Source organism: Homo sapiens, chromosome 5 (assembly GCF_000001405.40).
Source record: "Homo sapiens chromosome 5, GRCh38.p14 Primary Assembly".
NCBI lineage: Eukaryota > Metazoa > Chordata > Mammalia > Primates > Hominidae > Homo > Homo sapiens.
Window position 1 is genome coordinate 124,626,885 of NC_000005.10, and position 15,430 is coordinate 124,642,314.

At 41.2% G+C, this 15,430-nt stretch overlaps 1 protein-coding gene across 8 annotated transcripts in view, besides 2 other annotated features; it reads right to left on the bottom strand.

Annotated features, from left to right (window-relative positions):
* Nucleotides 4,340–4,389: an enhancer, noted in NCBI's record as "active region_23011". NCBI's record gives its function as "activates an Ori minimal core promoter by ATAC-STARR-seq in GM12878 lymphoblastoid cells {active_cell/tissue: GM12878}" and the evidence as "EXISTENCE:reporter gene assay evidence [ECO:0000049][PMID:35858748]".
* Nucleotides 5,252–5,546: a silencer, noted in NCBI's record as "tiled region #9682; K562 Repressive non-DNase unmatched - State 13:Ctcf". NCBI's record gives its function as "represses a minimal TATA promoter and a strong SV40 promoter by Sharpr-MPRA in K562 cells {active_cell/tissue: K562}" and the evidence as "EXISTENCE:reporter gene assay evidence [ECO:0000049][PMID:27701403]".
* ZNF608 (zinc finger protein 608) overlaps nt 10,031–15,430 on the bottom strand; it is a 111,910-nt gene continuing 106,510 nt past the window's right edge. For 6 of the 8 annotated variants that reach the window (NM_001385621.1, NM_001385619.1, NM_020747.3 and 3 more), the window contains 3 exons: nt 14,368–14,521; nt 12,249–12,330; nt 10,031–11,022 (listed from right to left, as the gene is read on the bottom strand). In NM_001385621.1, coding sequence (NP_001372550.1) covers nt 11,016–11,022; nt 12,249–12,330; nt 14,368–14,521 — 243 coding nt within the window. In that variant the 3' untranslated portion in view covers nt 10,031–11,015. Of the gene's footprint in view, nt 11,023–11,897; nt 11,940–12,243; nt 12,331–14,367; nt 14,522–15,430 lie in introns of those variants that run through there. The other 2 variants (NM_001385620.1, XM_011543520.4) reach the window with 2 other exon arrangements.

Genomic DNA, 15,430 nt, shown 5'->3' on the forward strand with positions numbered 1-15,430 from the left:
TCCTTCTTCCCTGCAAAAGTTCCAACCCTCTAATCACGAGGTTGGTTCCTCTGATGACCGGCCCCTTCCTGAAACTACCTAAGGGCCCGCCAAAAGTAACCTCATTAGCGTAAAGTCAGGTAAGGTACAAAAGGGTTCATTATGAAAAATAAAACCTTCTAGAGGTTGTGGGTGAGGCAAATTCTCAAAGAAAGGAGGCAGATCAATGGCATCTCTACTGTATCCTGACATGACATTTGCTCACTCATTCATCTGACAATACTTAAGTGCCTGTTTTAGGCGAAACACTGTTCTGGATGCTGGAGACAGAATAGTAGGAAAAAATGATTAGGTCCCTGCTCTTATGGAGTTTATATTCTAATGGCAGGAGAGGCCATAATCAGATACACGAACAAATATTTAACATGTCATTTGATGGTAAACAAAATGGAAAAAGTAAAGTACGACAAAAGAGGAAGCACTCAGGGAAAAGGGGGACATTTCTATTTTGTGGTATAAAAAATAAGTGTATATATATATATACTTGTATACACTATATATACACTATATAGTATATACATACATATATACACTATATAGTGTATATACATACATATATACACTATACATATATACATATATGTATATATGTGTGTATATATACATATATGTATATATGTGTGTGTATATATACATATATGTATATATGTGTGTATATATACATATATGTATATATGTGTGTATATATACATACATATGTATATATATACACATATATGTATATGTAGACTATATATACATATATATGCACATATATATGTATATGTAGTCCCTCTAGCTGACCCGAAAAGACCACTTGTTCACATGTATATATGTATATGGTCTTTGCCACCCCACAATTGCTGGCACAGAGCTCCTAAAACCCTTGGAATCACAGGAGTGTTGACAGTCCTATATAATTCCATACGCCTCTCCCAAATCCGGCCCAGCCACATTTGGTTATTCCTTGGATGGAAATCCACTGCACTTGGCACAGGAATTTGGAGTGCAAACTGAAAGGCTAGGTCAGTTAAATGATGGTGAGAAACGAGCCCTCGTGAGCTCCATAGCAATTTCAGGCCACGTTCAATTACAAGAATAGGGAAGTCACAAAGAGGTAGAAACGGTCTGTCTGCAGAAGCGGGAGAACGGGACAGAGACACCAAGAGAAGAAGGGGTAAGAGATTATGTGATATTTGAGCGAGATTTAGGGATTTTCTAGACACCAACAACCACTATGACCTGCCAATTCCCTTCCTATCCTTGGATAGTGAGACGGATTCTTATACGCTTTCAATAAACCTTCTTTGTAACTAAGCTGGTTTGCGTGAACTTCTGCTCCTAGTCATAAATATTCCTTCGACAAAGGGCTTAGATGAAAGTGGTGTGGGGAGTCAAAAGAAGCCAAAAATAGGAGCCAGCTTAGCAACTGTTCCCGCCCCACACTGCCCAGCCTCCACTCCCTCAGCAAGTTCATTCTATCCTGTGGCCCCTGGGCCTGGCCACTTCCATCCTTTCTCTTGAGAATCTGCAATTAGAACTGGAAGATGACAGAGAGTATTGCCAGTCAGGCGAGGTCATGTGTTTGGAGAATCAGAGAGAGCCAGTGTGCAGAGAGAGGAATGAGGCAGAGGAGGAGTAACAGCGACAAAACAAACCACGATGTGTGTGAGAGAGAAGCTTCCATGGTGCCTAGACCTCCCAGGTCCCACCAGTGCCAGCCCCTAGGAAGCTTGGACACACTTGCCACCCTTGCTCCTGTAAGAACCCCTCTGTTCTTACATCTGTCTACTTTGCTTACATTTGCTTGAATAGATTTCTGTGATTTACGCCTTAAACATCCTTGACCAAGGCACAGTGGCCCTGGAAAGCAGGAGGTACACAGGGGAGCCCTGCTAAGCATTCAGAGGGAGGCTTCCAGGCCTGCGGAGTTGCTGACATCGAGTGGGACAAGATTAGAGATTCTCAGCCTCCCAGGAGGATATCGCATTCATGTTAGGTGCCAATTCATCAATTTCCACCACTGGACGATGACAAGGGAGTCCCTCTAGCTGACCCGGGAAGGCCACTTGCTCACCCACCACACCCTGAGCACACCTCATCCACTGGAGTCAGTCAGAGGAATGTCCCTGGGCCCCATAGGCTTCCAGAAGCTACATTGCCACAGTGTGAGGACTGTCAAGCTGGAAGCCATTTAGAGGCTGGCTGCTCACAGGCACCGGGCGAGCTCGGCGCTGGCTCTCTCTGCTTCTGACTCCTCAGCTCCCTGCCAGTGCCTGACAGGGGTGGAGTGACTCACCGCATATCCCTACCTCTGAGCACATCTGTGGCTCCCCAGTGTCCCGTGATGGCCCAGCCCACAGCACCGCAGGGTCAGAGGCTTCCTCGGCTGTCTGCTGGGGCCTCTCCATGAGTCATCCCTGCTTCAGCCCTCAGCAGCCCTCAGCAGAGGGAACGGTCTGGTCACCAAGCTGTTGTCACAAAATCCACCTTTTATGGTCTGCCTCCCAGTATCTTATCACTGAGGGGATGGTGGGGGCTGGGGATGGCAGACACACGGGCACCTGGGGGTTTCTGAGGCTGAGCACAGCAGGCTCCCAGGTTTATGAGCTTTCGAGGCAGAGTCTCACAGTGAGTGCTTGTCTTCATGGCAGACCTTCTTGGCCAGCACTAGGTCTGCAGAGTTCAGCTTTGCTCAGCTTTACGGAGACATCTATGTGCTCATCCAGAGGTGGGAGGGGGTGCCCCACTCTGTCTATAAGTGGGAGAGGGCAGGGCCTGGGCACCCTATCCCCAGGACACAGGACCTGGGCACCCAGTACCTAGGCCCCTCACAGGTACTCAGGAAATACTTCCTGAATGAATTCTGTCTCATGACCTGCTCACCCACTTTCAAAATTCCTTCTTTTGAAGGAATTAACCCTACCCCAAGGGTTTGCAGTCACTAGATCTGCTGGGTGGGTCACTCGCCCACCACTCACCCAATCAGGGACAAATTCAGGTTGGTAGAGGGGCAGGAAAATGAGGCCAGTCCTTTTTCTTCTTCCCTACCAGACACATTCTGCTCTGCTGAGAGTGGAGAGAGGGCCAAAGGCAGAGAGGATTATGCCCCCACCCAGCTGGAAGTTCTAGGGGTTGCCCACCCATTCTTTCCCTTCCAGCAAGAGTGAGATGGCTTTCTGAGACTTGGTCAACGCCCTTTCCTAACGTTGATAACTCTAAGTCAGAGACCCCAAGCTAAAGCCTGGTTTCTCTTTCTCCTGAAGGAATCTCCCTTGTTCCTGATATGGTGAGATTCTCCCTCTGCCAGTGGGCTAATTTGTTCTTTCTCTTTCCAATTTTGGTATACCAGGGCTCAACGCTTGCCCTTCCTAACATTCCAGTCCCTTCACCCCTCCACCCACCCCTCCTAATTATGTCTAAATTCTAGTAAAAATGGTCCTGAGTTCCTCTTTTCTGTCCAGAGTGCAGAACTTGCTTTGGGGGAGAAGGTAGGTCCCTGTTCTTTCTTATAGGCTGTAAGTTCTGGGGAACCTCTGAAGAGCAGAGTGTGTGTGTGTGTGTGTGTGTGTGTGTGTGTGTGTGTGTGTGTATGCATGTGTGCGTGTGTGCTAGGGAATGGTGGAAGAGAGTGGCACCTTTCCTCCTACCCATAGAGTCTTACTCAGCTGTGTCATGGAAGAGAGAGAAAAGAAAGACGGTAGGTTTCTGAATCTCTTCATGTTCCTTCGGAACAGTGCGTTCAGTGCAGCCCTGTGCCCGCTATCCTAATTCTACCCAATCACCAGATTCTCTAAGGAAAAATCAGTTACAGCGGAGGGTCTCTGTGAGTTCTGCTGGAGTGTAAACAACTGTCTGCCTCCCACCAGCACCCATCCCAGACTCACACCTCAGGAGAACCCAGAGGACACTAAGAGATTCTACCACGTTTCACTGGCCTCAAAGAAAGTTTCATGCCTCAGACAAAACATTCATCCCCCCCTTCGTTCTCCCCAACAGAATCCTAGTTCTAAGCCATGAGCCACTCCTCCCATGCATGACTCAGGGGCAGATTCTCATCCTTCTTAGCCTGAGGAACTCATGGCAATCCCATTCTCTTCCTGTAATGTTTCAGGAGTCACCATGTGGCCTGGTTCTGGCCAAGGATATGGGAGAGATGCCTGCCAGAGGCATCTGAGGAAGGTTTCTTCCCTCCTAAGAGACACAGGAAGACACAGTTCTCTCCCCTGGACACTGATGTCTCCAGAGAGAGATCTGGAACTCATGTGGCCATAACACAGGGGACAAGCCCAAGGAAGACTGAGCAAAGAGTATCACAGAGAAGCAGAGTCAGCAGCATGCGGGATGATGTCTGGAGATTACCCTGCTCTTGGCTCAGCATTGGGGAGAGAACACATTTCCTTGCAGTTGATGGCAGTTTCAGTCATGGTTTCTGTTACAGGCAGCTGAAAACATCCAGCTGTACAGCAGCCTTGCTAGAAACAGTCTCCCTCTCCATGGTTATTACGCTGAAAGGTCATCCCTACTAGGCTAGGGATTCCACCCCACTTCCCCCACCCTGGAAAATTCCGATCTGGTCTAGGTTGGGTGGCTGGACTACCTTCTCTGGAGAGTGGTGAGGAAGATGGAACTACTTTCTCTTTCAGACCTATAGTTCAGTGACCTCCAGTGATTAAATGGGGCCAGGATGTCTTGATTCAGTGGCCCCTGCCACCCTTATTAGGAAGAATTTTTCAATCAATTTCTGTATTTTGCCCCAACACATACTATTTAGAGCAAAGTCCTCTGAGAAGCCAAGAAAAATCTAGGCATTCATTTTTTGAGGCTCTCACCATATCGAAATAAAGAAGCAATTTCAATATAACATTGCAGAAATTATAATTTAAATGTTTACATCTTGCAAGTAAGTATGTTTCACATATTCCCTTGTCCCTCAGTACACACAAAATACACTGGAGAAGGATCTGGTTAGGGGAGGGTATTTAAAGAGTTAAAGCTGAGGTTTGAGCATCCTTCTTTCTAATATTTTCAAAAATCCCCTGAGACAGTGAGAATGACATCATTTGTAGATAATTGAAAGTACAAATTTGGGGCCCTTTGTCAGAACGTTGGAATGACCCTTTGTAGGAGCCCATGATAGTCTCTGCCAGAATCACAAAAGCATCAGCCTTCCCACCAGCCTCTGACACCCAAGCACCAGTTCCCGTGAAGCCCAACTCTTGTATTCTGAGCTTCTAGTCATCAGATACATATGGTAGAGTATTGAAAGAGGCAAGGGCTGCCATGACAATGAGAAAACAAAAAAAAAGGTAACCTTTTCAGCAACCTCTGCCAGCAATGCACTGAAGAGCCGCTAGGCTCTCAGGATCCTGGGCCTGGAATGTGGAGTTTAACAAGGGCTTGATGCCTGGCTCCAGCACAGGCTGCACAGAGGCTTTGTCTCATAGCAGCCTGGAGAGACACACCATTATTTTCCCCTCTGAAATAATAAGCACTTTAGCAAAGGAAAATCTTGTCAATTCCCTAGGGAGTGTATTATCCCTTCTCTGAAGCAGTATAACATAGGGGTTATGGTCCTGTCACTTACACAGTGGTGTGAACTTGGGCAAATTACTTTAGCTTGATGCCTCAGTTTTTCCAGCTCTAAAATGCGAATAGTAATTGGGTGATTATGAGAACTAAATGAGTTCTTACATGTGAAGTGCAAAGTAAATATACTATAATTTTGATGATGGTCATTATACCAGTTGTAATATTGTATATTATACAGTAGAACTATTATACTATTGTTATTGTGTTAATACTGCCCAGGCAGAAAGGGATTTGTGTTGGGTGGTGTGGCAGGTAGAGTGGTAGCCCCCAAAGATGTCCATGTCCTAATCCCCAGAATCTGTGAAACGGTTGTTACGTGGCAAAGGGGAATTAAGATTGCAGATGGAACTAAAATTGTTAATCAGGTGACATTGAGAGAAGGAGATGATACTGGATTATTTGGATGGATTCTATCTAATCAAAGATCATTATAAGAGGGTGGCAGGAGAGCCAAAGATGTGATGATAGCATGAAAGTAAAAGAGAAAAAGATAACACCTCCATAAATCAGTAGAAAGTTGGGTCAATAAGTAACGATTCTGGTTCCCCAACTTTTCTGACTGAAGAAATCAGTGCTTTAAAACACTGAAGGTAAATAAATAACTTCCAAAGTTTCCAATAGTTGAAAGGAGGAATAGTGCCATGTTAAGTCTCCTTGCCTGAAATTGGGGGGTTGTGAGGGTGACACCCTTGAAAGTTATAGGGGTCATGATTTAGTCCCATAAGAGTTTAGTTTCTTGCAGAGGTGGCAAACAGCCTTCATGTTGCGTGTCAACTTTGGTCTGTTTTTTAGGGACTACTGGGAAAGCTGCACTGAGAAACTTGTTATGAGGTCTCACACACATTCAGGTGGAGAGAATGCGGCAATGATTAGCCACGTCCGTTATGGACACAGGAAAGAAGCTTTGTTCCATCGTACTACTTGCCATTCCAGGTAGACAGGAACATGACAACAGCTGGCCAAGGGTCAGGCTAGTCTGATCAGACCTAAACCTAGACTTGTCCATGGGTGTTATCATGCCTTGTGTTCATGATAGCCCTGGATACTTTAACTTTCTCCATATTGCAGATTTTGATGTTTCCTTTCATTTTATTTTCAAATGTCTAAGTGAAAAAAAAAAACTTCACTGAAATGTATAGTGTATGTGAGAATCTCTCAAAGTTTGTTCCTGTGTATGAAAGAAATGCCTCTCCCTGTGTGAAGAAAATCTGAATTCAATCCCAGCAACTCAATTAAGATTTATCCATTTTTTTCCAGGTTTTCCACTGACAGCCTTCATTCCAGAAGAAATAATATGTATTTTTAGTGGGCTAGCACTGCTAATTGACGTGCTGTGAAATGAATCCAGCCCTCAGATGTGGTTTTAAAATTGAATTCATCTTCAACCTAAAAGAACTACTAATTATTATGTTAAAATCTGGGTCATCCAATTCTTTTTAAAGAGCTAGAGGTCTGGTCCAACTTTATCCACATTGGTCAAATGAGCATCCCCATTCTGTTTACATCGAGTTACAAGGAAACATCGATGGCTTTCCTATCTCCAAAAGCAACAAAGAACGATAGAACTCAGCACTCTACCTGTGGGGCAGGGGCTAGGCATGAGTTCTAAATTTCATACGACCTGTTGGTTGTCACAATTTGTTGGGGAGGTTGCTACTGGTATCTCCAGAGTAGAGGTCAGGAGTACTGCTAAATATACTACAATGCACAGAACAGTTCCCCCACAGCAAAGAATTATCTGGTCCCATATGTCAATAGTGCCAAGGTTGAGAACTCACCCCTTGCTTTAAAGAGTGATTTTGTTAAGAAAAATGAAAAGTCAGACTGGGGGCCTTGCTTTGTTTTCTCTTCTAAAGTTAACTGAAAGTAAACAACATTTATGACTCAGGCTACTGCAAAAAGCAGGGAATGGATGACTGTGGTTAGTGACAAAAACAATAATAAATGGCTTTGCCTGTCTTGTCTCTTTCAGAGTCAGGGAAGGAATGAAATGACCAGTAATTATCATTTAAACTGCTGTTTTTATCCTGCATCAATCAGAGCTATTCATTCTGGTTACTCACAGACCCTTGGGCTGAAACCACACTAAATCAGGGTCACAGCCAGTGTGAATGTATAAGGCCACACGTTTTACTCTGCAAGTGTTAATGACCTGGGCTGAACAGCAATGGCAAGTTTCCATGAAAAAGTCATCTGAGATTGTAATCTAGGAATAAATGGTTCTGTATGGAGCCTATTACCTGGTTTTTAATATTCTGTATTCAAGGGGACCACAGCTGTAAACAACTCTTCACTCCCATTTCTCCATGAAGTTAATTTGCACTGTGTCAGCACTGCAGGCTTTTTGCATATGTTCAGGACAAGCTGATATGAGCAGGCCTGGAATGAGTAATGTTTAGTAAAATCAATAAACCCTATTATTAGTCACTAAGGGGACTGATTTTATGTCTATAAAAGTAAAACAATTAGAATGTATTAATGGCAGATTCATCATAGTAATATAATGGAGCCAAGTACACTTGTCTTTTGGGAATCTTTAATTTACCACTCGGTACTGACTATATACTCAGCCAGAGAAATGGCACACGTAATATAAATAAGCCCTGGCCTTTGGCAATTCATGTTGTCATCAGCAAAGACAACACTGTAACAGTAAGAGGAAGAAACAAAACTTCATTTAGTGATTAATGTAAACCAGTCACGAATAATGTTCCAGTAAAAGCCTAGGGGAAGAGCCTATTCAAATTGCAATGTGCTTTTGGTCATATATCTCTTTGTATTTATCAGCATTCCTGTTTATTACAGGAGCAGAGTTAAACATGGTCCAATGCAGCTATTTATAACCTGTTTACTTAACCACCTAATTAGAAGTGATTTTAAAAAGCCTGCTATGTAATAAACATACATCTAGTCATTTTGCAGCTGAAAGGTAAGATTGGCTTCCATATATATTATTAAGAGCAAGAAAATCATCAGGAATCCACAGTATCACCCAGCTACCAACAAGAACATGAAAATTCAGCTAGTGAAGATGTAAGTTGACCTTAGTTCTGCTTCTGTGCTTTGACAGTTAAGGGGTTGGTTAAGAACTGGATCAGCATGTAGGCAACCAACAGATACCCTGCCAACTATAGTCTGAACAGAGAAAACATACTTGCTTAACTGGTATAAGACAAATTACCTCAAGTCTTCAAGGATAATCAAGATGTCGTATAAAAACGAAAAAGCGTTGATAGCTTAAAAATGATGAAAAATATGTGAAATACTCTTATGTATAGGATTAAACACCACAAACGATATTTTTATAAATAACAGCTTGGATGAAATTCAAAAGAAAAACTGAAAACTAACAGAAAAATATCTTCTTACTGAAATCTATTAAGAACATAGACTAGATGTGTAAGCCAAGCAGCAAAGGCAATACTCTAAGGTGGTCTTTCAAAATCAAGGGAAACATTTCTTTTTGATTGCAAAATTCTATTCATTTCTGATGCAAAGGCCTCTAGGTAGAACTAACCAAATTATACCAAGACAAATTCCGTCAGCTTAAAGAACTTTTTAGTAAACCACGTGGTAGCACTGTCATTAGCAATTATAGTAAAATAATAAAAACTTACAGCTGGAATGGAGCACTGAAATCAACCAGTCCAAACATACAAAGCACACTCCCACCTTGGGGCTTCGGTACTTGCTCTTCCATGTCACTGCAGTGGTGTTCCCCCAGATGTCTGCATGGATCCCCCCCATCTCTTTAGTGGCCACTCTGTTTACAGTTACAAACTCCAGCACATATTCACTATGCCCCACTCCCATGCTTCATTTCTCTTCATTGCATTTATCAACCATCTAACATGCTCTATATATTATTCAGATATTTTATGATATGTTTATCCCACCCACCAAAAAATGAAAGCTCCATGAAGACAGGAATTTGTGTCTGCTTTGTTTACTGCAATATGCCAGAACCCAGTGCAGTGCTTGGGATAAAGCAGGCACTCAGTAAGTGTTTGTTCCAAGCAAAGAAGGGAGAGAAGAGGCAGTTAAAATTTGGCATAAAATATTCTAGTAAATCAATGTAATGACAGCTAACTGACTAAATGACTTTTTACATATTTTTCCTGTTATCCACATGTCATAACATTTGCATCTTTGAAGTATCATTCCATACCATAGAAACCTGTATCTACTAATTTCTAGTGATATCGTGCTCCATGTTTAGGGTAAATACCCTGTAAATGGGAATACATTCACCGAATTAAACACACTATTTGGTTGTTATACCTATGTATCCTATAAGAAAAGTTAATATCTGTTTACTGTATCTTATGCATTGGATATTAATAATATTAAGAAACCCTTCTTTGAAAATTAGAATGACTATCAGCCAGGTAGAAAATAACATGAGACAGACAAGAAGCCATTATTTAAAAAAAAAAAAACTTTTTAATTCTGATTGCCAAATTATTTAAGGCAGGTATAAAAAAGGAAAGCATTCAATATACATTTTACATAAAATAAACTAGATTACAGCATAAAACAAGTAACCAGGCAATGGCGTTAAAGTCTCTCTCTTCTAAAACTGGATAATTGTAAACATTAAAAAAAAAAAAAGACTGTAGAACTATTCAAGTAATAGAACAATCACAGATGTCTCTGGTACGCAGGCTATTGGGTTATTTGCCATTCAAGATTATCAAAAAATGACACCTCATTATTCACAGATGCTCATTATTTCCCCATTTTAATCTTTACATTATATACAACACAGTTTTTGTGGTACTGGCAACCCCATGCCTTCCAAAAGTACTTTTTCCACAATACACAAGTACAAACAGTGACTACAGGAACATTTTACACTGGTGCGTCTTTAACAGGAGCCACCAAATAGACATCTAAATTGTACCAAAGTGTCATCATCACAGTTAGCCTTTCTGAGGGGCTTATGGGAAATATGTGAAGGATATGCAAGGTTCAGGCACACTGATACATAACATTATTTATTTACAATTTTAAAGGAAAAGGAAAAGAAAGTAAGTAGCCTTTTGTGGCTAACACTTTTTAACATGACAAATACATTTTTAATTTCCTTTACTGAGTGGTTTGCGACGTGGCAGCAGACCCTGTGTGTGCGAGCCTGGTTACTGATACAAAAAGTAAAGAATATATTTATATTTATATATATATATATGTATATATACAGATATGTATACGTATATATATATAAAACAGAAGTTTAATTACAGCAACATTTGTTACTCTGTGATAAAATCTGTAATTTACAAAAATGAAATGACTGGTTTTTGCCTGCCATTAAGGCATTTCAAATTAACACCATGGAACTGATGTCTGTATAAAGCGCTTCCCCATGTGATCCAGTCACATGACAATGTACATGTCCAATCTTGTTATTCTCTGCAAAAGAAAAGCAAACCTTAGCACACGGTTCTATCAACATTTTGTTTGTTTGTTTTTTGAGTCGGAGTTTTGCTCTTGTTGCCCAGGCTAGAGTGCCATGGCTCAATCTCGGCTCACCGCAACCTCTGCCTCCTGGGTTCAAGTGATTCTCCTGCCTCAGCCTCCCGAGTAGCTGGGATTATAGGCATGTGCCACCATGCCTGGCTAATTTTATGTTTTTAGTAGAGAGGGGGTTTCTCCATGTTGGTCAGACTGGTCTCAAGCTCCTGACCTCAGGTGATCTGCCCACCTCGGCCTCCCAAAGTGCTGGGATTACAGGCATAAGCCACCACACCCGGCCAACAGTTTTTTTTTTTTTTAGTTTTGAGACAGAGTCTCACTCCATCACCTAGGCTGGAATGCAATGGTGCAATCTCAGCTTACTGCAACCTCCACCTCCTGGGTTCCAGCAATTCTCATGCCTCAGCCTCCCTAGTAGCTGGAATTACAGACGCACACCACCACGCCCAGCTAATTTTTGTATTTTTATTAGAGATGGGGTTTCACCATGTTGGCCAGGCTAGTCTGGAACTCCCGACCTCAGGTGATCCACCTGCATGAGCCTCCCAAAGTGGTGGGACTACAGGCATGGGCCATCATGCCCAGCCTCTATCAACATTTGGCACTGTAAACCAGAAAACCATAAGACCGATAGTCTTATTTTAATTCCATTCAAATGTGGAATTCAATTCCAGAGAAAGTGAATAAACATAAAGTAATGATATACATTGTGAAAAATATTAATTTTATAATATTAATAATTTAATTCCTTTAAATCATTTTCCTTCATAAAACTTAGGGAATAATTTAAAATATCAAAGAACAAACATTACCTTTAGCATTATGAAAATAAATGTCTCCATTTGCGACTTTATCTTTAAACATAATAAAACAAAGGGAGTCATGGTGAATTATTTTAGAAATGCCGTAAGGATAACCCAAGAAAATTTCAACTGTCTAAAAAACTAATCAGTTAATTACTAATCTATGTAACCCTTACAGAATGAGGTTCATGGAATTTAAGTTGCATGTGAAGCAACTTATATTGGCATAATAAACACATTCATTACAATGATATAAAACCCAAGGAGTTAAGTTTTTGGTCTAAAAATCCTGTACTTGCTTCCTCCCAACCATTAAGATATTTCTATCTACAACTAATTAAAAATGTAGAGGATATTTACCTTCTTTGTCCAGGAAACATTCCAGATGCAGATGCCTGGGCAGCCACCTGCTGAGAGGCAACAAGGGCAGCAGAGGTCAAGCCTAATGGGGAAAAAATGTAGAGTGTCTGTGATCTTTAGAAGGATAAGAGTAGATACAGGCCCAGTGGAGAAGGGCCGCAGACCTAGTAGCAGCATGGTGTCCTCTCCTAAACACACACATGAACTGTTTCATGCAGCAAGGACACAGTACAAACCATTTGGTCTATCTGCTATCTATCCTTTCTTGAATACTCTGCAGTTTTCTTAATAGCTATTCGAAGGAGATACAGCATTCCATCTCTCCGGCTCTGCATGGTGCTAAATGGTTTGCATGCATTCCCTGAATAGGAAGCTCAGGAGAAATAACAGATACCAGGTAACAACAGGAATCAAAAGTCACAGTGAATTACAGAAGCGGCATGCTATTTGCCTAGAATACAATACTTTCATAATAATTGTTATCACTTTAACATTTTCCCCAGTGACTGAACACAATGCATCCCATAAGATACACAGAATCAGTAAATCAAACTTAGAAATGCTCTTAACTTTCACCCTGCAAGACAAAGGTAGCAGTCAGAGACTGTAATAGCTCCAAATGGCATGATGTTGCCTAACAGAGAATTCTTTTAAATTCTATAGAAGACAGTCCTGGGGAAAAATAGAGTAAACAAATGCAAACCTAGGGAAGATTACTGTCTCCTTCTAGGTCTTTTATTTGGATATATTTTCTTTTCCCAGAGGTAACTTAAGACAGTACAATAACAATAATATTATCTTAAAAGAGACAATTGTTTTCTTCTCATATATACTTTATTTATATATAGATATAATGTGTTAGACTAGAAATAAAACCTCTTTCTCTTCCAAGTTCTTATTACACTCAATACAAATTGTTTAAGAAATAGGAAAGCTCTCTTTTAACACTACTAGATGACATCAACTAAAAAGACCTGAATAAATAAAAATGACCCCTTCACATTTGTATATCACTTCCCAGTTTTGGAAACACCTTCAAACATATTATCTTACTTTCTATTCACACAGTAGCATAAGAGGCAACTTGGCAAGTGCAATAGACTAAATTATGTCTCCTCAAAATATGTTGAAGCTCTAATCCACAATGTGATTAGATTTGGAGATGGGGCTTATAAGGAGGTAATTAAGGTTAAATCAGGTCATATGGGTGGGACCCTAATAGGGCATGATTAGTGTCCTTATAAGAAAGCACACGAGGGCTCCCCCCTGCCCCTTCCCCACCCACCAGCTCATGCACAAAGAAGAGGTCATATGAGCGCACAGCAAGACAGCAGCTGCACACAAGCCAGGAAGAGAGGCCTGAGCAGACGCTGGCTGTACTGGCACCCTGATCTTGAACTTCCAGCCTCCAGAACTGTGAGAAAATAAATTCCTGTTGTTTAAAGCCATGCAATCTGTGGTATTCTAGCAAGTTGTAAAGATGGTGCCACCACCCACCTACTATGAGATGACAAAGATGGGACAAATAATACATGCTCAACTAATGAACTACAAGGTGAAGATTCCCTCATATCAATCCTATGGCTTAAAACATGTTTCTCTTTCTCAATTCTCCCATTTAGTGAAGTCGCAGCAGTGAAGGGCTGTGAAGAACCCTCGAATGAGGTTATAAAAGTGTTAAACCTGATCACATTACTCCCATGATTTCCATGGGAAAAGAGCAACTTAAAAGGCATGCAGAAATCAGAACAAGTAATTTCACCAAAGCTTCCCACCATCCCTCCCTTTTTCTACAATTTTCCTGAAGTAGATATCTGATCTTCTGATTGTTATATTCAGTGCCCCAGACACTGGCCACCGCCCTCAGTCTGTGAGATAACAGTAAGCTGCCGATAACATCAACTGGTGACAATTATTAAGTGGTAGCCATTTCATGTCTCAATAGAATACAAAGATGTGGGAATAGCCTTAGCTGTGTCACTAGAAAATAAGTGTTAAAAACCCTCCTGAGAGCTAATGTGAACTCAAAGCTCAATATTTTTAAGATGTGAAATGCAATTTTAGCAACTGTTTTCCAAAGCAGAATGGACAAAGACACAGTAATGATAGAGCTGCTGACCTTGAAAAGGGTCATATTGACCCGGGATTAGCGGGTAACCCATGCCAACGTGGGTGTGGTGGTGCGTGTGCAGGTGCCGCTGGCCGAAGGGGGAGTGGCGATCCCTTTCCCTTTCTGCCTCCCGTTCCCGCTCAGCTGTAGCCTTTTCCACAGGCTGCAACAGAAAAGAGAAATTTTCCCCCTTCATGCTCTGAAAATCAACTTTTAAGAGTACTAAACCACCTTTGTCCCTTCGACAATATTGTGTTAATGATTAAAAAGTAAATATAAAGATACAATTCTTTAGTAACTAAAGAGAATTTCAAAAAACATGCATTAGTTTCAGTTGGAATTAAGCCAACACAAAAGAACTACTCCACCCAAAGTAAACCAAGTGACACCAATGTTTTCCTGAAATGACGGAAATAAGAGGATTTCTCTCTATATTCATTCATAATTGCAGGTTAAGAATTTACCCAATTGCTTCCCATAAACAACTTTTACAAAATAAGTAGTTTTGGAGATATCTTTAAGGTCAAGTTTTCTAATTACACTTGTATTTTGTGGAGAGAACATATCTCACAGTTTTAAACGTGTCTGTATACATTTTGTTCTACTGAAAAAACATGCTCTAAAGTTATATGCCAATATAAAGCACAAGAAATCACTGTCCTACACCCACATTTTGAATCTCTCAATTTTTGAACTCTCAAAGAGAAGGCCCCATCCTCCCAAACCATAGTTTGGGGTAAGGATGGTTCATTTCCTATGACTTTCTACCTTTACAGCCTAACCACCCTTTAACTAAAGTTATACTTCTCACTTAAAAGAAATCCTTGTACTAAGAAGGAGGACTCAGAAAAAGATTCAGAAATCCCCTTTTCTGGTTTCTCTATAGAGTTTCTGGTAGACTCACACACATTGCAGATACTATTATTTTAATTTACTTTAAACTCTTTCCTAGCCAAGCACCATCCTATTTTTGTTTAGTCTCTCTTCACAACAGTCTCTAGGACTAGAGCAGTCACCTTTTTTGGGGAAGAGCCATCTTTCACAGACATTGTATTACTTCAGCAGAGTTAAA